We start from the raw sequence: 22,478 nt of genomic DNA on the forward strand, positions 1-22,478 counted from the left end.
ATGGGAAGACTGAGGGATGGATGGTGTATTAAATAAAGCTTGCTTTAACTGGTTAAAGGCTTTTGAGTTTTAGGTTCCCAAGTTAGGGAGTGAGTTTTAGCTGCTTGAGTTTCTTTTGTGAGGTGGTATAAAGGGCAAGCTATTTCACCATACCCAGGCACTCACAGTCTGCAAAATCCAGTAATGCCTAAGAATACCCTTAACTGTTAAAGGAAATGGGCTTAATCCTTTCCTTACCTGGTGCTCTGTTCCCTTCTGATAAGACCAGACCCAGATACTTTACTGAAGTTTGACAAAGCTGAGCTTTAGATTTTGAGACCCTATATTCCCTTTCAGCTATGAAATTGAAGAGAGCCTTAGTACCTTCCTGAGACCTCCTTGGTTGGGGCACAGAGGAGAGTGTCTTTACATACTACAAAGTTTCAACTTGAGGGTGACAAAAACTAGAATGATCTTTGGACAGGGCCTGTTTCAGCAACTTGCGTCTGCTATCAGGTGCTGCCTGAGTAATGAACCTGTTCTTTATTGAATTGAGAGACAGGGAGGTGTGTTTCACTAAAGCTTTTTTCAGCCTTTCCAAAAAGGCTGAGAGATTTTCATTTGGTTTCTGATTCAACAAGGACAGTTTACAGTAATTAAGAGTTTTGGTTCTGATTCTTTGCAAGCCTTTTAATATGCACATCAGAAAGTGTTTTCTTTTCCACTTGTCTATGGGATCACCAGGACTCCAATTAGAGGTTTTTTTCTTTTTCGGAGTTTTGCTCTTGTTACCCAGGCTGGAGTGCAATGGCCCAATCTCGGCTCACCGCAACCTCCATCTTCTGGGTTCAAGTGATTCTCCTGCCTCAGCCTCCCGAGTAGCTGGGATTACAGGCATGCGCCACCATGCCCAGCTAATTTTGTATTTTTAGTAGAGACGGGGTCTCTCCATGTTGGTCAGGCTGGTCTCAAACTCTCAACTTCAGGCGATCCACCCGCCTCGGCCTCCCAAAGTGCTGAAATTACAGGTGTGAGCCACCACGCCCAGCCCCAATTAGGGTTTTTAAGGGGCATAGTTTCTCTTCCTGTTGGGAAAGGGGATTCTGTCTCTTTTTTACCATGTTTCCCCTTTTGACTGGGTTTTTCTTTTGACTGGTTATAGGAGACATGCTGTTCATCTCTGAATATCCCTGCTGTCTGTAGGGCTTCTTGTTTCTCTGCAACAGTTAGGGTTTGGCATAAAAGTAGCATAGCATCTCCCCATGTAAGATCAAACACTTGGATTAGATTTTAGAAAGCCTCTATATATCTATGAAGGTCATCAGAGAACTTGCCTAGCTATCCCTTTATTTGTCTAAGGTCCTGCAATGAGAAGGGAACTTGAAACCTAGTAGCACCATGTCCATTCAGCATTTCCTGCAAAGGCAACAGCGAAGTTGGCAGCTTTTTGGGTAGCATAGCTGGAGGGGCTGATGATATGGCTATTGGGGGCCCTGGATACAGGAGGCAGTTAGGGCACTGAGAAGTTGCATTAGAGGGTTCCTCAAGGGTTTGCCTCTCTGACTTTGGGGAATTATATTCTGTAGACTTGCCTGATATGACTGCCAAGAGGGAAGGGTTAATTTTACAACACTTACAAAGATGGGGGTTGTCTCACTGGGAAAAATAAGATCTAGTTGTTGGATAGTATTGAAATTAATGCTTCCCTGAGGAGGTTAGACCTCCTGTCTGTAAGAGGGCCTTGCCCTTGTGCAATAGAATATAAGCTGTTTTTTCTTCAGAGTCTCACAATCAAAGGAGTTCCAGTGTTTCAGAATGCACTTGAGGAGAGTGCAGACTTCAGATGGTTTGTTATCGGGGGAACCCACCGCCAATATTTCAACGTAGGTTCTTTCTATTTTCCATAAGTGTCAGCCAGCTGAGAAATAAAGAGAAAGAGTACAAACAGAGGAATTTTACAGCTGGGCCTCTGGGGGTGACATAACATTTCTGTAGGACAGCGATGTCCACCTGAGCGCAAAAACCAGCAGGTTTTTATTAAGGACTTCAAAAGGGGAGGGGGTGTACAAACAGGGAGTAGATCACAAAGATCACATGCTTCAAAGGGCAAAAAGGAAAAAGGAGAACAAAGATCACATGCTTCTGAGGCCAATAAAGATCACAAGGCAAAGGGCAAAATCAAAAACTCCTGATAAGGGTCTATGTTCAGCTGTGCACGTATTGTCTTGATAAACATCTTTAACTACAGAAAAAAGGGTTCGAAAGCAGAGGACCAGTCTGACCTCAAATTTATCAGGGAGTGGTTTTTTCCCCATCCTAATAAGCCTGAAGGTACTGCAGGAGACCAGGGTGTATTTCAGTCATTATCTCAACCGCGTAAGACAGACACTCCCAAAGCAGCCGTTTATAGACCTCCCCCCAGGAATGCATTCCTTCCCCAGGATATTAATTATTAACATTCCTTGCTGGGAAAAGAATTTAGCAATATCTTCCCTACTTGCACTTCCGTTTATAGGCTCTCTGCAAGAAGAAAAATATGGCTCTATTCTGCCCGACCCTGCAGGCAGTCAGACCTTATGGTTGTCTTCCCTTGTTCCCTAAAATCGCTGTTATTCTGTTCTTTTTCAAGGTGCACTGATTTCATATTGTTCAAACACACGTTTTAAAATCAATTTGTACAGTTAACGCAATCATCACAGTGGTCCTGAGGTGACGTACATCCTCAGCTTACGAAGATAACAGGATTAAGAGATTAAAATAAAGACAGGCATAAGAAATTATGAAAGTTTTATTAGGGAAGTGATAAATGCCCATGAAATCTTCACAATTTATGTTCCTCTGCCACCACTCCAGACAGTCCCTCTGTTGGGGTCCCTGACTTCCTGCAACAGTTTGTTACCCATCTAGAAAGAGAAGGGATATAAGGCACCCCTCACTCCCTTTCCTGCTTTTGGTGTGACCAAGGGTCGAGGGAAAGAGAGGCATGGGGTCCTCCTTCTCCTCCTTCCTCCACATCCTCTAGGTCTCGGCTATCGTCATAGATGCTACCCATGAATGCAAGCATGACCTTCATCCACACACCCAGAGGAGCTAGTCAGCATAACTATTCATGCTCACCTGCAGAAGGCCCTAGCTTTCCACCCTGTTGGTTTCCTAGACCAACTCAGCCCAAAAGGCTCCCAAGGTACCTCAGAGTCTCCATAATGGAGAATGTGTCCCAATACTGCCTCTGGCTTCCCTTGCTATGGCCCCAGAGAAACATCAGAATCCCAGAGAATGGGACAGGTTGACTTCCAAACATAAAATCCCTTTTTGTTTAAATCCCATCCCAGTGTTGTTGGATGCAGAACAGGTGCCTCAAAATAATGTAAGGATTGAATGCTGTCCTTCCTTTGGGGGGACAATATTGAGGCTAATTCTGTCTTGCCAGGATGGCTTCCTCCTGGGTGCTGGAAGTGTAGTTTTCTTGTCTACAAATAGGGCATGGGGCCTGATCACTGATAATGGGACATAAGAGGGAAAATAATTGAGGAACTGTAAGTTTCGGACAAAGAGTTAACAAGGCTCCCCACAAAGAAAAATCCCATTCCACTACGTGGCACTGTAGGATTAGAAATGCTAGGTAAAAACTGACTCCAAATTCTTTCCGACAACAGTTAGAAAGAGAGGTTTGGGGTTTGCCTGGCTGTCCCCACAGTATGCCTCCCAGCAGAAGAAAATTAACTTGTTTTATAGAAAGGCAGTCTAGTTCTCCTGGACAGTGCTGGCTTCTCACATGGGTGAAGAAACAACCTAATGAAGTGGGGGATAGTTTCTTGGGGAGAAATAACCCCCATCCAGTCCCACTGAGTGCTATCATTGGGAGATAAATAGGTGTTCAGATCCAGGTCTTGGAATACCCCTATTTCAAGGAAACCACAGAGACAATTCATTGAATTACAGTCCTAATTCCTAAGGCACTGACTGACTCTATCCAGCAAGATTGTAGTCCTAGGCTGTAGAAACACCCGCAACATTGCATACAAAGAAGGGATAGGATGGCTGGGCACAGTGGCTCACATCTGTAATCCTAGCACTTTGGGAGGCTGAGGTGGGTGGATCACCTGAAGTCAGGAGTTCTAGACCAGCCTGACCAACGTGGTGAAACCCTGTCTCTACTCAAAATACAAAAATTGACCGGGCATGGTGGCTCATGCCTATAATCCCAGCACTTTGGGGGACTGAGGTTGGCTGATCACCCGAGGTTGGGAGTTTGAGACCAGCCTGACCAACTTGGAGAAACCCTGTCTCTACTAAAAATACAAAATTAGCCAGGCATGGTGGAGCATGCCTGAAATCCCAGCTACTTTGGAGGCTGAGGCAGGAGAATCACCTGAATCCAGGAGGTGGAGGTTGTGGTGAGCCGAGATTACGCCATTGCACTCCAGCCTGGGCGACAAGAGCAAAACTCTGTGTCAAAAGAAAAAAAAATTAACCAGGCCTGGTGGTGCATACCTGTAATCCCAGCTACTCAGGAGGCTGAGGCAGGAGAATCGCTTGAACCCAGTAGGTGGAGGTTGCAGTGAGCCGTGATTGTGCCACTTCACTCCAGCCTGGGTGAAAGAGTGAAACTCTGTCTCAAAACAAAAACAAAAACAAAGAAGGGATAGGAGACATGATAGCCATGAAAAGAAAGGAGGAAAATAATGCAATAGAAAAAGACTGGAAGACCTTGTGCTGATGCCCTGACAGGCTGTCAGGGACCAGATTTAGGTCAAGGGCCTTCAGGTAAACCGAGCTGTAGCCTCAGCCAGGAACCTTTAGTTGCCCTAGGACCTCCTTCCAATCCCACATGATGGCTAGGCCCTCTGTGAAAGGAAACTGAATTGGAACAGAGCCAAAATTCCCAACACCCAAGGGCAAATGGGGATTGCCAAAGTCCTCTCCAGCAAGCCTGTCTGCTAAATCTTAAGGCTGGCAGGCATGCTAACTGTTTTAAAATGGCTGACAGGAAGCCAGTGTTCTGTTTGCTTTTGAGAGACAAAACTGAGGACAAGAAGCCTCAGAAAGTAAAGAGTTAAAGGTCCACTCCTATTCACCCTTCTGATTAATCCCTATCTTCCCAGCCAATGCACCAGAATATGTTGTAGTCTCGCCAGTGCACCAAGATGTAGCAGTCTCTCGTTGTCTGAGATAATACTTGGAGTTATTCATCTCATGTTCAAGAACATAAAGGAGCATGGTAACACGGGTGAGGTTGGAGCAAAAGTTTAATAAGTTGAAGAAGAAAGCTCTCTGCAGTGGAGAGGGGGGCTCGAATGTGTTGCCCACTATGAGGCTGGTGTCTGGGGTTTTTATGGACTACGAAGGGGAAATAATGTGCTTAGTCTGTTGGCTGTCTTAGAGAAAGCATGATTTAGCTTAGCCCAGGACCAGTCAGGAGCTGAAGTGAAGATTTATAGGAGCTACTCAGCTTGGCCCAGGACCTTTCAGGAGCTGAAGTGAAAGCTTGGCCCGGGACCTTGGCCTGGGACCAATCAGGACCTGAAGAGATGATTCATAGACGTCAGGCTTACAGTCCAAAATTGAAAGGAAAGTGCCCATCAGAACCCATCAAAGCCCACTGTGTTCGTGCCCACAAAAGGAGAAACATTTTCCTGGGAGCCCACTGATTATACAAAGGAAAGTCATTTCTATGTCTGGCCTTGTTCGCTTATCTGAGTGAGCGAGAGGTTAGTGCAAGTTTTTGTAGGTGGGCTGGAGTTTCTCCTGTCTGTGCAGTTGCGGGCATGTCTCCAGATACAACCCCCTGTGCTAGTTCCCTTATTAGTGCCTGCAGTTTGATTTTTTTTTCCCAGACTGCTTTTTATGTTATGTGAAGATGAGGCACTTAACCTATGGGTTGGAGGCTCTCAGGGGACCCTTCCCTTGCTGTTTACCTGAGGCAAGCTAGCCAACTCCTCTCAGTGGTGGGTACTAACAATAAACATACTTATGATTGAACTCTAATTCTCCTGTGGTTCTCTCACAGAGATCTTTTGCCAGAAAAATTAAAGCAGAGGCGTACAAAGGCTGTTTGTGTAGCCTGAAAAACAGACTTTATTTTTTAAAACATGTCCCTTGAAGGAGAAGCAGCCACATTCATAGAAACTGGCAGTAACAGGAAGCAACATTTGCCTATCCTGGTCAGATAAACTTGGGCAAAAGCCAAGTCCTTCTGCTCCCTGAGGGGGTCTTGCTCAAGAATGTCCTCATCATACAGCAACAGCAGCTTGGAGGTGTCCTTGCTGGCCAGACCCCAACTTCCCCACTTGTTGCAAGCTCTATGATTGTTTCGGCCTTTTCCAGCAGCTTTGATGCTCTCTCCTTGTAGCACACATGAAAAGGATTGTTTCTCTGTCCCTGCAACCCGTGCTCTTCCCATTCCACCACATGCACCACCCCAGCCAAATCCTATTCAATATTATGGAGCAATTCAAGGAAAAAGTTATTGGGAAAATGGTATGAAAACTAAGTCCGTCAAGTCAGCTCTACGCAGAGTCTGCAGTGTAACTGCCTTAATTGGGATGACAACAAGATAATCAGCTACTTCATATTGAGAAAGGAAGTCTAAAGAGCAAGTGTGGCTTCTGTAGCACTTTTGAGATACTATGTCTTGATGAGGAACAAGCAGTGTTTTCTGAAATAAACATAGGTCTTAGCCCCACACATGACAGGTGAGCTAAGAACCAGTACAAGAAAGTGAATGAGGCTGGGTGCAGTGGCTCATGCCTGTAATCCCAGCACTTTGGGAGGCCGAGGGGGACAGATTATCTGAGGTCAGTAGTTTGAGACCAGCCTGGCCAACAAGGTGAAACCCCGTCTCTACTAAAGAAATACAAAAATTAGCCGGGCGTGGTAGCTCTCACCTGTAATCCCAGCTACTCAGGAGGCTGAGGCAGGAGAATCTATTGAAGCTGGGAGGTGGAGGTTGCAGAGAGCCAAGATTGTGCCACTGCACTCCAGCCTGGGCAACGAGAGTGAAACTCCGTCTCAAAACAAAACAAAACAAAAATTAACTGAGCGTGGTGGCGGGCTCCTGTAATCCCAGCTACTCGGGAGGCTGAGGCAGGAGAATTGCTTAAGTCCGGGAGATGGAGGTTGCAGTGAGCCGAGATCGTGCCATTGCACTCCAGCCTGGGTGACAGAGCAAGACTCTGTCTCAAAAAATAAATAAATTAAATAAATAAATAAATAAATAAAAGTGAACGAAGCTAATACAAATCTAGCAATGGATGAGAATCAATTTAAAAATTTTTTGAGTAGGCCAGCAGCTGTGGTTCACACCTGTAATCCCAGCACTTTGGGAGGCCGAGATGGTTGGATCACCTGACGTCAGGAGTTCGAGACCAGCCTAGCCAACATGATGAAACCTCGTCTCTACTAAAAATACAAAAAAAAATTTAGCCGGGCGTGGTGGCGTGTGCCTGTAATCCCAGCTTCTCAGGAGGCTGACGCAGGAGAATTGCTTGAACCCTGGAGGTGGAGGTTGCATTGAGGTGAGATTGCGATGACACTGCACACTAGTCTGGGCAACAAGAGCAAAAACTCTGGCCAGGCGCGGTGGCTCACGCTTGTAATCCCAGCACTTTGGGAGGCCGAGGCGGGCGGATCATGAGGTCAGGAGATTGAGACCACGGTGAAACCCCGTCTTTACTAAAAATACAAAAAAATTAGCTGGGCGTGGTGGCGGGCGCCTGTAGTCCCAGCTACTCGGAGAGGCTGAGGCAGGAGAATGACGTGAACCCAGGAGGCGGAGCTTGCAGTGAGCCGAGATCGCACCACTGCACTCCAGCCTGGGCGACAGAGCGAGACTCCATCTCAAAAAAAAAAAAAAAAAAAAAAGAGCAAAAACTCCATTTCAAAATATCTGCGTATCTGTTCTCCACAAAGATACCACATTAAATGTGTTTTGGGGGAGTGGGGTTGCAGAAGAAATCCAGAAGTTTTCCTCTGGAAATCCTCCACCTGGTTTATAAGCTACCCACCCTGCACACTGTTCTCTAGACAATGAGGTTAAGTGAGAATGGTCCTTCAGTATAGGTTTGCCTAGCTCACCTGGTGGAGTTCTGCTGGTCTCCACTTCTGGAGCAGTCTCAGGTGAGGCAAAAGTAGAAGGAGGCTTCTCAGCAGAGTCTCCAACTGCTTCATCCGTCATTTCATCCTCTTTCTCCAGGCTTTCCATTCCTTCTGCTTCTTCTTCTTCCTCTTCTTCCGGCTCAGAGTTCTCCTCCTGAGAATTCTCTTCTTCAGACTCACCCTCCTGACTCATGCGCCTTTTCAGATGCCAGCCAAGTCAGTTTCTCCATTGTTTCCTGTAAAACCCTCCAAAGAGTACTTACGGCTCCTAGTGGCTCATGAATTGCAGAACAGCACAGAGCTGTATCAGGATAATCTGAAGTTAAACAATGGGGAACCCACTACAGCTGTCAGAGCGGAATTCCCTGAGTTATGAAATCCCAGTGATAGCTGACATTGGGCCTGACAGCAGGAAAGTGGAAAAGATGCCTTTTGAAAACTTCTTCTTTACCCTGAAATTAGTTTTCCTTTGCCTTAGCCCATATTTATGTGCCTCTTCCTTTTTTTTTTTTTTTTTTTTTTTTTTTTTGTCTTGCAACAGCGTCTCACTCCATCACCCAAGCTGGAGTGCAGCGGCACAATCTTGGCTCACTGCAAACTCCACCTCCTGGGTTCGAGGGATTTTCATGCCTCAGCCCCCTGAATGGCTGAAATTATAGGAGCATGCTACCACGCCGGGCTAATTTTTGTATTTTTAGTAGAGTCAGGGTTTCACCATGTTGGCCAGGCTGGTCTCAAACTCCTGACCTCGTTTTGTGATCCGCCCACCTCGGCCTTCTAAAGTGCTGGAACTACAGGTGTGAGCGACCAAGCCTGGACTATTTACTATTTTTTTTTTTTTTTTGAGATGGAGTTTTGCTCTTGTTGCCCAGGCTGGAGTGCAATGGCGTGATCTTGGCTCACTGCAACCTCCACCTCCCAGGTTCAAGCAATTCTCCTGCCTCAGCCTCCCGAGTAGCTGGGATTACAGGCATGCACCACTATGCTCGGCTAATTTTGTATTTTTGGTAGAGACAGGATTTCTCCTTGTTGGTCAGGCTGGTCTCGAACTCCCAACCTCAGGTGATCTGCCTGCCTCGGCCTCCCATGCCTGAGATTACAGGCATGAGCCACCGCACCTGGCCCTATATACTATTTTTTAAGGCATTTAAAGTATGGTCAGGTGATTCAATTTAATGTGTAAACGAGTTTAATATAATAAGTAAAATTTCATCCTTTCCATCTCATTTCACCTCAACTCCACAATCATGTCCCATAATGCATTCACAAATCAAATACAAATGATTTTAGGACTATCCATAGTGCAGCAAGCAAGCAGGTGGCATATCAATAAGTTAAACATATTACTGAGTCCACAAAATACTTGAGAGTATTCTCTAGCTCTCACCTGGAGTTCTGGGACAGAAAGCACAGATTCCTCAGAAGCTGATGACATTTCATCTTCCTCATTTTGGGTGAGGTCATCAAAGTCATCTTCTTCCTCTTTTTCTGGCCTATCTTTCTCTCCTCCAGTTTCTGGTCCAACTGGGGTCCCCACTGACTGACCATCAACACTGGATGAGTCTTTGGGCTTCCCTGGGGGCTACTAAGCCTCACTTCAGGATTCATGGAGGATGAAGCATTATTTGGTGATCCTTTGCCCTCATCTCCCCCCAAGTTTCCTTCATTGGGGGTTCTTGAGAAGATGAAGGGGTTTTAGTTGGCTGAATCCTCTCTTCTTCCTTCTGTAAGATTGTCTGTTTCTTTACCTCTCTAGCACTGCTCAACTCCTCACTTGGGGAGCCAGTGTCTAATTCCACAGTGTGTTCTTCCTTGATGTCATCACAAATACCGTGCTCAGGGTGTTACCAGTGGACGGTCTTGACTACAAGTTGTCCAGGTTCTTGGCGTATTGAACAGAGAATGGAACAAAATGCACAAGCAAAGCAACAAATGAATGAAGCAACGAAAGCACAGATTTATTGAAGTGAAAGTACATTCCACAGAGCAGAAGCAGGCTTGGGCAAGAGGCTCAAGCACCCCAGTTGCAAAATCTTCTTGGGTTTGAGTACCCTTTAGAGGTTTCCTATTGGTTACACCCTTTGTAAATGAAGACGTAGCCCATGACCAATTGGAGGCTGAAGTGAAATTACACCCTATGCAAATGAAGATTTCGCCTGCGACCAATCAGAGGCTAAAGTGAAGGCTCCCTGTCTCCAGATCCTATTCTCCTGCCTCATTCCCCCTTGAGAGACTTAATATCAAATATTTACAGGAGGTAGAGGGACTGACAGTCTTTCTTCTGTAACTGCTTCATGCTGTTTGGGGCACTGTCCCTATCTACTTGGGGACCATGGAACTCTCACCCTGCTCTGTCTAGTGGAGACAGGATGACTTCTTGTTGGCCGGGGCTGGCATCATTCCCTGGATAGAAGCCCTGCTGCATGATCATTTGAAGCTTAATGGCCTCTAGGTGAGAAAAAATACATTTGGTTAAAAGATTTAACAAACATGGTCCAACATGGTCAATGCGAGCATAATTGTTAATAATGTGCCAGCTAAGGGAAGTAGACATGAAGCCCAACTTAGTGCCCTTGACCAGAAGCCCCATGACTCGGACAGCTGTTGTTATATTTTAGAGGCCCCATCAGCTAATTTTCAGGCGGCATCTCTTGCTAATCCTGATTGGTTGACATAAAAACAGCATTCTTCGGTGGGGCGCGGTGGCTCACGCCTGTAATCCCAGCACTTTGGGAGGCTGAGGCGGGCGGATCAAGAGGTCAGGAGCTGGAGACCATCCTGGCTAACACGGTGAAACCCTGTCTCTACTGAAAAAAAAAAAAAAAAAAAAAAAATTAGCCGGGCGTGGTGCCAGGCGTCTGTAGTCCCAGCTACTTGGGAGGCTGAGGCGGGAGAATGGCATAAATCCGGGAGGAGGAGCTTGCAGTGAGCCGAGATCGCGCCACTGCACTCCAGCCTGGATGACAGAGTGAGACTCCATCTCAAAACAAAACAAAACAACAACAACAAAAAACCCCAGCATTCTTCTTTTAGGAAAAGACATATGCCACCTTTTTCAGCAGCTAGGAAATCCAGTCTCCTATTATTTTGTAAAACGACCGTTGCCAAGGAGTCTATCTGATTTTGTAAGGTGACAATACTTTGGGCAATGTCTTCCAAGCTCTCTGAAAGATCCTTGGACAAACGTTGGTAATAGGATAGGAATGTTGCAAGCCTGCTAACTCCTGTTCCTACTTCTGCGGTTATTCCTAGTCCTACCAAAAGGAGTATGAGTTTGATGGTTCATTTGTGCCTGGCGGGTGCAGTTAAAGGTATGAGAGACTGGTTATTGAGAGCTATACAGATTTCAGGGGCTAAATAAAGAAGTGTAGAGGTTTCAGTCCATTTGATTGGTAAACATAACTAGGAACTAGTTCCACACAGGAAAAAGACTCCGTGTTTTTCAAGATAAAAATCATTCTCTATGGTGAACATATGGGTTAGCTTTTTGTTTTTCTTTCCCCAGTGGTTAAGGTCCCTGCTAAGGTGGCTCCAGTTAAAGGCTGGAAAGGACCTTGGGAAGTATCCTCAGTTGTCCTAGCAGTTAAGTTTTCCTGGTGAAGGTAGTTATGCTTAGTGTCCACCAGCAACCACCCAGAGGTATTTTCATACTGGAGAACCAAAAGGCAACTAGCTGTCTTAGGATTACTACAGTCTTCCCAAGTGAAAATGTGAACACAGCTAGTGGTCCTACCTTGACAGTACTTAGACTGTGTGTCCTTTAAAGTGCCCTTAATTAGGAATAGTTTCATGCAAACCATACAGGTTTTCTAAATGATGCAGCCTAGGTAACTGCATAGCTTACATATCATGTGAGAGGTTAATCCCTAGGGTGTAGTTACTCTGATGACTCAAGGTTCCCAGGGTTTGACTAGAATTTTTTAATACAAAGTGGCACCTGGGATTTTAGTTCTTTGTGCGTTCTTGGGCCCCAAATAGGTTTTTGAGGAGATGCAACCCCAGAAATGTTACTTTGGTAGGACTGGAGAAGGTTTACTGCTCATCCTGACATTGTAACTTTTGTTGTTTATGTAATTTTGAAGTCATAGAAGTCATGCAGATCCATTAATTTGAAGGGAGTCCCTCCCTTGTAGTTGAGGTGGTAGGACATTTTTTCAAGGGCCCAAGATAAGCCTGGGTTGCGATGGCAGTGTGTTTTGGTGATGTTGGAGATGAACAAAGCCAACAGTCCTTTGCCAGAGCTGGACTGGTGGTATTTAACAGTCTTTGGGTTAAATTTTAAAGTCTTAATAAATACCCAGAATCCATTAATTGCCAGAGAAGTAAAATAAAACCCTGCTGTAAAATTAAGCTGATTCCCAGTATGCCTGGTCCCAGTATACACAGGCCAGGGCTAACCATTATGGGACTAAAAATACTTATCTGTTATTTTGTTCTTTTGAATGGGAACTTCAGGGGGTGTATACCTATCCTCTCAGGAATAATGTTACAAAAATGAAGTAAAACATTTTGCTTAATTATTACAAAGGAAATGATTCCATCCATTTGGAAGAAGGCAATAAATTATAAAAATATAAAAACTGCTACTATTATCAAACCTACAGTAACTATGCAGCATAGACACCAAGGAGAGTTGGTAGGCATTCACTTATCTTTTGACTGTCTTTAAAACAGGTACTTCAGGTCTTCCACAGGTTCACAGGTATAGTGGCTGACGGAAGCTTCAAGTTACAGGTCTGGGGCTTCAGGTATTGCAGGCTTGACCCTAGAAAGACGTATCCAACTTCTAATCCTGGTACTTTGACTACAGAAGGCGTGGCCAACACCACTGAAAAAGTCCCTTCCATTTGGGTTGGAGTTGTTGAGCAGGTGACCCCTCTTTCTGTGTTTTAACAAATACTTTTCTCTCCTGGCCTGATCTTGGGTTGCTGGTTAGTTCCCAATGCAGAGAACCTTTGAGTTCCAAACTTTTGAAATGCCTGCTGAAATTGTCTCCGGTTAATTACGTATTTTACTAAACTGGCTATTTCTGGATCAGTAATTAGATCATCCATTAAAAATGGCCTTCCCAGCCAGGTGCAGTGGCTCATTCTTATAATCCCAGCACTTTGGGAGGCCAAGGTGGGTGGATCACTTGAGGTCATGAGTTCAAGACCAGCCTGGCCAACATAGTGAAACCCCATCTATACTAAAAATACAAAAATTAGCGGGGTGTGGTGGCTCACACCTGTAATGCCAGCTACTTGGGAGGCTGAGGCAGGAGAATTACTTGAACCTGGGAGGTGGAGGTTGCAGTAAGCCAAGACTGTGCCACTGCACTCCAGTCTGGACAACAGAGTGAGACTCTGTCTCAAAAAAAAAAAAAAAGACTTCTGTATAACATTTTAAATGGGCTCATATTAATTTTTGCTCTAGGGGAATTATGGATCCTTAAAAGGACTATGGGCAGCAAGCTGACCCAAGTTTCTGAAGTTTCCTGACATAGCTTAGCTAATGCCGATTTTAGAGGTTGATTAGCCCTTTCTACTTTCCCAGAGGATTGAGGTCTCCATGCTGAATGTAAATAGTATTAGATTCTGAGAGCCTTAGCAACCCTTTTAGTTATTTGGGAGACGAAAGACATACTGCTCTCACCTTGGAGGCTTTGGGGTAACCCAAACTGGGGATTATTTATCTTAGGAGAACTTTTATAACTTCATTAGCCTTCTTTGTTCTGCTAGGGTAAGCCAGTAAATGTGTCTATTAGTACTAGCAAAAACTTGTATCCCCTACAAGCTGGCATATGGGTAAAATCCAATTGCCAGTCTTCCCCTGGGGAAGTGCCCCTTCTCCGGACTGGTTCTATTAGAGGAGGCATTTTGTTCCTGGGGTTGTTGAATGCTCACAGTGAACAGGTTTGACAGACCTGCTTAACCACGGAAGTTAAGTCAGGCCCAATGAAGAGCCTGTTTATCATGGCAAGAGTGGCATCTCCTCACATATGGAAAGAGTCATGCAGGATTTTTATAATTCTCCATTGGGCTGTTTGAGGGAGATACACTTTTGATACTATATACCACCAGGATCCTTGTTTGTGTCCATCTTCCTCCTTTACTTCGAATATCCCTGAATACATCACAGGGATATTCAGGTTCTATTGGGGAATCATAGAAAGGAAGCAGTGCTAGAATTTGTCGGGATTACACCCTGAGCAGTGCGGCTTTGGCTTATCAGCCTTTCTGTGCCCTTGTGTTACAGGGGTTAGGTTCTTTTGATGCCCCCTACAATGAATTATGGCTATGCTTTTGGCAAGTGTATTGCTTCCAACAGTTGAAGAATTTCAGACCCATGCTTTATGGTGGAAGATTTACTAGTTAGTAGTCCTCTTTCTCTTTCTTTTCAAATTGCAGCATGAGCATGAAACACGAGAAATGCATGTTTGGAATCTGTATAGATGTTAAGCTTTTTCCCTTTTCCTAATGTCAGAACTCGAGTAAGAGCAATGATCTCAGCTTTTTGTGCTGACATACCTGGGGGCAGGGGTTGGACCTCAATAATTGTATTGTAATTTACTGTTGTATATCTGGCCCAGTGTTCCCGTTTGATATAAAGCTGCTGAGGTCTGTGAACCAGTCATCCTCTGAATCTGGGAGAGGTCAACCTTTTAAATCAGGCTGGCTAACATATGTATGTGCAATAACTTGCTCGCAGGAATGATTAATTATTGGGCCTGTGGGCAGCAATCAAGCTGGATTCACAGTGTTACAGGTTTTAAGGGTCACATCTAGATTTTCCAGGAGCATAGCCTGGTATTTGGTTAACCTTTCCCCCATCATACAGTTGTGTCCTTTTATTTCTAGGATTGACTTGATGTGGGGTTAATACTTCCAGTGGCTGACCCAGGGTGATTTTAGCGGCTTCTTCCACTAAAATAGCAGTGTCTGCCATCGACGGCAAGCAGCTTGGCCACCGTGTCCAATTTCTTTGAGAAGTAGGCAGTTGGCACTCCCATGGCTATGCCTTTCCCTTCTGCTACATACAAGGGCTTAGTGAGGTCTAGGATGCTAAGAGCGGGAGGCTGGCTGAGAGCCTGTTTTAACTTGATAAAGCCTTCTCTCATTTCCAAAGTCCATTCAATTGGCTCATTTTCTGGCTCCCTTGTTGCTTTCATAAAGGGGTTTTGCTATGAGCCCAAAATTTGGTACCCATCTTCTGCAAAACCCAGCCATCCCCAGAAAACGACGAAGCTGTTGCTTGGTGTGGGAGGAGCTCCAAACCACATACGGCTTGCACTCATTCTGGGGATATTTGCTGGGCTCTGGGTGTTAAGATACACCTTAAATATTGAACCCGTTGGTGGGCAATCTGAGCCTTCCTTTTGGACACTTTATATCCCATCTGCAGAGAAATTTAAGGTTCTTATAGTATTTTAGTCACCCCCTGGGTTGGGCTACACACAAGAAGGTCATGTACATACTAGAGTACACTCCATTTTCCAATTTTAGATCCCTTAGATCCCCAAGGCTTGTGCAAAAAACAAACAAACATGGTTATCCTGAAAGCCCTGAGGGAGGGGCACTGTCCAAGTGTATTTCTGTTTTAGCCCTACCCAGTTTCCCAGTATACCATGCTAGTGCGTTGACCTATTTATTAATGTGGTCTGGGACATTGTCTGCATTACTATTAGCAATTTTGCTGGGTGGTGCCTAAATCGTAGCAGTGTCCCTATTTTAACTATAATATCCCCTCCCAACAAGGGGACTGGGCAGCTTGTTACTACTAGAAATTCTTGTTGGAAGATTTGTTTCTCAAATTGGCAAGTCAAAAGAGGAATAAAGAATCTTTTTTGTGGCTCTCCTTCCATTCCCATAACGCTTGTGGATGGGGAGGAAGCTTTTCCTACGTAAGTAGTAAGGGCAAAGTAATTTGTCCCTGTATCAAAAAGAAACCAAATTTGGGTGCCCAACATGTCCAGAGTTACCCAGGGCTCCTCAATAGTAATGAATGATGTTCCTGGGCAGGGGTGGTGAGGAAGGCCCTGGGCCCCATCAGTTTTCATCAATTTCTCCTTTTGCACTGTTAAGAGTTTTGACTGACCTCCTCTGTGTAACAGGGGGCAGTTAATTCTCCAGCACCAGGGGTTGTGACTGGTGCCTTTGTACTGCCAACAGGGTCCCAGTGGGGGCTTACTACAGTCCTTTGCCCAATTCCCATTTTTCTTGCATTTGAAGCAAGAGCCTTTGCTGGCATTATCCTTATGGCCCATTGGGATTCCCTTGGGCACTCTTTGGGCATTCAGGGCATCTCCAATGATGGCTATCGTAATTTTGGCTTGCTTCTTCTTTATTCCTTTTCCTTCCTCCAGGTCATGATTGTTATACACCATAAGGCAGTATCAAGAAGTTGATTTTGATTAGTCTGTGGCATCATCTATAGCTTTTGGAGCCTAATGGCTGGAGCGGATTGGCTAATGAAATGCTGTGCCATTAATATTTTGCCTCTGGAGAGGAAGCGTCCAGATTGGTATATTTCCTTTCCCCAGCCTACCATAAAAGATGGCTGGATTTTCCTCCTTGCATTAATATTTTGCCTTCTGGAGAGGAAGTGTCCAGATTGGCATATTTCCTTTCCCCAGCCTACCATAAAACATGGCTGGATTTTCCTCCTTGCCTTGTATAACCTCCCTGATCATAATTTGCTACCTTAAGATATTGTCTTTTTCATTCCTCCAAGGAGAGCCTCAAGAAATTTGGCCCAGTTGTTCATTCCCGCAGGGGTGTCAATTAGGATCAGTAGTAGGGGCTGGGGCTGGGCCCTGGTGATTGCCCTAAAGGCTTCAGGCAAATAAATCGTGGACTTCCTGGCAGGCGGCCTCAAAGATTCGTTCCCAGGGGGTACAACACGTTGCTAGAATTAATTGAACATCCCTCCATGAGAAACCAAAGGCTAAAGTCAAAGTTTGGAACCCATCTGCAAATTTCCTGGGGTTCTCAGAATAGCTTCCAAGCTTTTCTTTACATTGTGTTATGGAGAAGCAGGCCTGCACTCTAACTGGCCCCTTGGCTCCTGCTACTTCCCTCAGGAGTGGTAGGGCTGAAAGGGAGTTGAATAAGGTGTTCCACTGTGAGGGGAACTTGGCAGGGTTCCTGGTTTTTGCTCTTGGGTTTGAGCCTCAGGAACACTTGGCAACAGGCTATACGGGAGAGGTTGCCATTTCCCGAGACAGGTGACCCTTGTCAAAATAGGATCATCTACAATATCTGGTTCTGCCTTAGGACCTTTGATTATGGGACAGGTCCTGGAGTTTTGCACATGGTTGGGTTTTGATATACACCCATGAAGACCTGCACATATGGGATTTCTGGCAATTTACCCTGCATTTTGCAAAATAGGTCTAATTGCAGATGGTGTTAATAATTAAGAATTCCATTGACTGCCCATTGTTCCTGGCTGCTTGTTTGGGGTCCCTAAGGGTGTCCCCCTTTAGGGTCCCATCTTAGTGTGACATGTGACCTTTGATGGGTGCCAGCACTACTTTGGCAAGGTTCTCTCCACCACTGGTGACCCACTATTAACTCCTTTTATTCCTAGATGAAGGCCTTGACTTCTAGCATCTTTTTTTTTTTTTTTTTTTTTTGGAGATGGAGTTTCACTCTTGTTGCCCAGGCTGGAGAGCAATGGACATGATCTTGGCTCACTGAAACCTCCACCTCCTGGGTTCAAGTAATTCTCCTATTTCAGCCTCCCAAATAGCTAGGGTTGCAGGTGTGCATCACCATGCCAGGCTCATTTTGTATTTTTAGTAGAGACGGGGTTTCACCATGTTGGCCAGGCAGGTCTCGAACTCCTGACCTCAGGTGATCTATCTGCCTCAGCCTCCCAAAGTGCTGGGATTACAGGTGTGGGCCACAGCACCTGGCCTCTAGCATCCTTATAATTTGGTAAGGCCATGGTTTCCCACACTTCCTGTTCCACTAGAGTGATAGCTGTGAACCCTAATAAGAGGAACAGGAGGCTGGTAGGTTTCTTTTGTCATGTGGATTATGGGTAATTTCAGGGAAAAAGGTTGATTTTAGGCATGAAAGATAAAATAGGGCTGGCTATTCCATTCTGGCCCTGGGCAAGAGAGGGAATGTTTAAAAATCCACCACCATGGCAATGGGTCCTGTGTAAGGGCAGGCCATTCTATTGAAATAATATGGTGAAGACAAAGGAAACAAGGTCCCCTCAGTGGAGGTCCAAGATGTAGAATGTATTCTAAAGCTTGTGGGTCCCAAAGGTCATCAGCCAGCCAAATGGATCCAGTAGAAGGGTCAAAATATCTAGGAGATACTATCTTTTGCCCTCACTGGCTAACTCTGTAAGAGAATTTGGCCTAAGAAAGGAGGGTTTAAGAGGCCTGAGTGTGAATTCGCCCTGAATGAGCTACCACTGCCAATGGTGTCACGTGTAGAACTCAGAGACTATAACCAGGAAAGATAAAAGAGTCTTTCTCCCTTCCGGGCAGGGAAGCTATCCCGATTCATTCCTTGGCCTTCAGGTAACACTGGAGAGTGGCCCTGTCCAGTTGCCCTCAATTACCAAAGAGCTGTTAGAAAACAGCAGCTGAAAGACTCAAAAAAAGAGAACTCAGGTCTGTCACCCAAACTGGGTGATGGTGATCAGGTGCTTCCACGTGGATACCCTTCAGTCTCACTGGAGAGTGGCCCTGGCCAGAGACCTGCAGTTGCCTCCATGTTCACATGCTATCTGCTGAGTCTCAAGTTGGAAAAGGGAAAGAGAGAGAGGAAAAGGTTCCCCTGTATGGAGTGGAGCCCTGCACAGAGATATAGCTCCAGCCCATGCCGAAAAATGAAGGCTTGACAGGGAAAGAAAAAGGAAAGAAGAAAAGAAAAATAACCGCCCCCTTCCCCTGCACCGCAATTTGGACTTACCTCCAGGCTGGCTTGCCAAAATATGTTACTGTCGGAGGGTCTTGACTACAATTTGTCCAGGTTCTTGGAATGTTGAATGAAGAACTGAACAAATTGCACAAATCAATGAAACAATGAAGCAATAAAAGCACAGATTTATTGAAGCAAAAGTATATTCCACAGAGTGGGAGCAGGCTAAAGCAAGCTGCTCAAGAGCCCCAGTTGCAAAATCTGGGGTTTAAGTACCCTTTAGGGGTTTCCTATTGGTTACACCCTATGCGCCACCAATCGGAGGCCGAAGTGAAGGCTCCCAGTCTCCAGACTCTTATTCTCCTAGCTCAAAGAAATCCACTGATTTCCTCTGTAGCATCTTCAGGTTCCATCTTGACAACTTCCTCTAAATCCCCAGGGGAAGAGTTGTTTAGAGACTCCTGGATGCCCTGAGGGAGCGGCTCCAGAGCTTGCCTTCCCTCCTCTGTTTTCACAACGGTCCAGCGATAGGCACTGTTCTCTGACAATCCTTCTTGGCACTGTTTATCGACTGGTGGAGGCCCTGGGCTATGTTCCACTTTGGGGAAAACAGTAGCAGAGAGAGGAGATAGTTCCTGGGGCTCTAATTTGGGTTCTAGGCCCTGAAAGGCATTTTCCCCATCAGCCACAGCACAAGCAATGTCCACATTCATGTGGGCCTTATCTTCAGGGGTGGATGGTATAGGAAGATTCACAGAATTGCCAGAAACAATTAAGGGTGAGACAGAGGAGGCCACAAGGGGCTGGTTCAATGGACAGGGGAAGGAAGTAGGGTTAACCAAGAGGGTGGCGATGGGAATAGTCTGGGGACTCTGGGCCACAGCCGCATTGACAGGCTGGATCATGTTACAGCCACCGCCAAGGCTCACAATCTTCACAGTGGTAGCAGGAACAGTGAAGATAACAGATGCAGGGTGGATAACAGGGGCAGGTTTGATACAGCGAAAGGCCCTGGCTCCCCTTCTTTTTGAGGGTCTCCGTCTCACATATGGCTTTCGAAACATGGAAGAGGCAGGGGAGGGCATCATTACCTTGGGCACAGGGGCAGAAGAGAGCAAAGTCTGGGACTCAGACAGAGGGAAGCTTGTCCTGGCCTCAGGGGGCATAGCAGGCAGTGCTGCAGGAGACTCAAAACTCTCACCTCCACTGACCCCCAGTGGAGGGACACCTGGAACTGTCTGTAAAACAGTGGCTGGCTGTATTGGGTGAGGAATCCGGAGCACCATTTTGCTCGGAGGGGCTTCTGAATGAGTTGATTGGGCTGGTGTTTTCCCAGGGTTGAAGCTGGGCTGGAGAGAGGGGCTGGGTTGGATAAGGAGGGGTTTCAGGACTGATGAACGCTTCTGTCTCCAAGCCTTCTTGGGGAAACGGTCGGCAACTGGCTTCAGTTTCAGGACTACACCCTTAGGCAATAGCAGTGGGTACCGAGTTTCACTCCCCAACTCTGAGTTGTCTTTTTCTAGGCCTTGATCTGAGTTGATCTCAGTGGTTCCAGTCATATTTCCTACCTCTCTAGCACCATCAGCCATGTGCCGCAGTTCTTCCTGGATGGATGGCAGACTGGCCTATTGGAAATGAGAACACTCTGATCCAGCACATGTCAGAATTTGGGAAAAAGAATAGGACTTTCTAAGTTTAGGGACCTGAGACAAGCTCAAGGCATCTTTCCAAGGGACTCTGCATATGAAATTTCTACAAAGACCACAGTCCAATTATACACTTTAGAAACTCTTCTCTGAATTTCCTTTAGCAAATTACCATTTTACCCATTATTTTGAAAATGTTGTAGAATCACCCGGAGAAGGGCAGAAAAGTAAGGGAAGAAAGGTGAATCAGGAAGATTCCTGAAGTCCTAGTTCTACAACTAAAGCATTAGACGATTAAGGAAGTCCTTGATATTCTCTCAGAACTTTCAGTGACCTTCTGCCTCCTACAGACTTCGAGGAAGAGGGCTGTACCTTTAACCAGAATGGGAGCCGGTGTTCTTCTCTCTCTATAGGTGGCTTCCACTGATGTGGCTGGATCTCTTCACAGCATTTTCCTAGGACTGGCAGCTGTTTGGTCTTCTTATAAAACTTAACATGAAAAAAATGCGCATGAATTACATTCCTTCTGGAAACACTGTCTTCTGTCAGGCTGGTGAATGGGGTGGTGGTGGATCAAGAGAAACACACACACACACACACACACACACACACACACAAGACCACATACACAAACATCCATGAACACACATATACGAATAGCATATGCTGAATACTTGTACATTTCAAATTAAACTAATCTCTATTTAAAGATTTTATAGTTATTCAGTATTTTCTTTTTGAGACGGAGTCTTGCTCTGTCGCCCAGGATGGAGTGCAATGGCGCGATCTCCGCTCACTGCAAGCTCCACCTCCCAGGTTCACGCCATTCTCCTGCCTCAGCCTCCGGAGTAGCTGGGACTACAGGTGCCCGCCACCACACCCGGCTGATTTTTTTGTATTTTTAGTAGAGACAGGGTTTCACTGTGTTAGCCAGGATGGTCTCGATCTCCTGACCTCGTGATCCACCCGCCTCGGCCTCCCAAAGTGCTAGGATTACAGGCGTCAGCCACCGCGCCCAGCCCTATTCAATATTTTCTAACTGATGATCTCCATTCTGGTTGCCAGGAAGGGGAGAGTTTAGGTCACAGAGAGAAAAGGAAGCAGATGCTAAGAGCAATCTTATGTAAGATTTGTTCCTGCTCAACAGCTGCAAAGACAGCATCGTAATCTATAAAATGGACACATCAAAGACTTTAAGCAAATGATGGTGTGAAGGGCATCAGAAGGGAAGGAAAAAAAAAAAGACCGAGGCAGTTCAGTTTTAAGAGTAAATAGGCTGGCCTTGGTGGCTCACATCTGTAAACCCAGCACTTTGTGAGGCTGAGGCGGGCAGATCACTTGAGATTGAGAGTTTGAGACCAGCCTGGCCAACATGGTGAAACTCCATCTCTACTAAAAATACAAAAATTAGCTGGGTGTGGTGGTGGGTGCCTGTAATCCCAGTTACTTGGGAGGCTGGGGCAAAAGAATCGCTTGAACCTGGCAGTGGGGGTGGTAGGGTGGAGATTGCAGTGAGCCAAGATCATGCCACTGCACTCCAGCGTTGGTAACAGGGTGAGACTCCATCTCAAAAAAAAAAAAAGAAGATAAGAACTGAACTTAAACCATGACAATAAGCATCTGTTCATCCAACATGATGAACATAAGATGTTTTCTATATCCTAGGCACTGTGCTAAAAGCTAAGCACACACATAAGGGAAGCAATTCCTGCTCTCATGGAGCTTACAGACTAGTGGGAGAGTCAAGTGGACAAATGGCATCCTACATTAAAAAATGTACAAAGGGCTGGGCATGGTGGCTCATGCCTGTAATGCCAGCACTTTGGGAGAACGAGGAGGATGGATCACTGGAGGTCAGGAGTTCATGACCAGCCTGGCCAACATGGCGAAACCC

At 45.7% G+C, this 22,478-nt stretch overlaps 1 protein-coding gene and 2 pseudogenes across 12 annotated transcripts in view; all 3 read right to left on the reverse strand.

The window, feature by feature from the left end:
• Positions 1 to 6,329, reverse strand: part of LOC100419798 (gon-4 like pseudogene) — a 31,110-nt pseudogene extending 24,781 nt beyond the window's left edge.
• Positions 9,151 to 9,918, reverse strand: LOC100419799 (gon-4 like pseudogene; annotated as a pseudogene).
• The window catches only part of YY1AP1 (YY1 associated protein 1), a 29,555-nt gene continuing 26,168 nt past the window's right edge, over positions 19,092 to 22,478 (reverse strand). For 9 of the 12 annotated variants that reach the window (NM_001198901.2, NM_139121.3, NM_139118.3 and 6 more), the window contains 2 exons: positions 20,957 to 21,073; positions 19,104 to 20,563 (listed from right to left, as the gene is read on the reverse strand). In NM_001198901.2, the coding sequence (NP_001185830.1) occupies positions 19,307 to 20,563; positions 20,957 to 21,073 (1,374 nt within the window). In that variant the 3' untranslated portion in view covers positions 19,104 to 19,306. Of the gene's footprint in view, positions 20,584 to 20,956; positions 21,074 to 22,478 lie in introns of all 12 variants that reach the window. The other 3 variants (NM_001198904.1, NM_001198903.1, NM_001198906.2) reach the window with 2 other exon arrangements.

This window comes from Homo sapiens, chromosome 1 (genome assembly GCF_000001405.40).
Source record: "Homo sapiens chromosome 1, GRCh38.p14 Primary Assembly".
Lineage (NCBI taxonomy): Eukaryota > Metazoa > Chordata > Mammalia > Primates > Hominidae > Homo > Homo sapiens.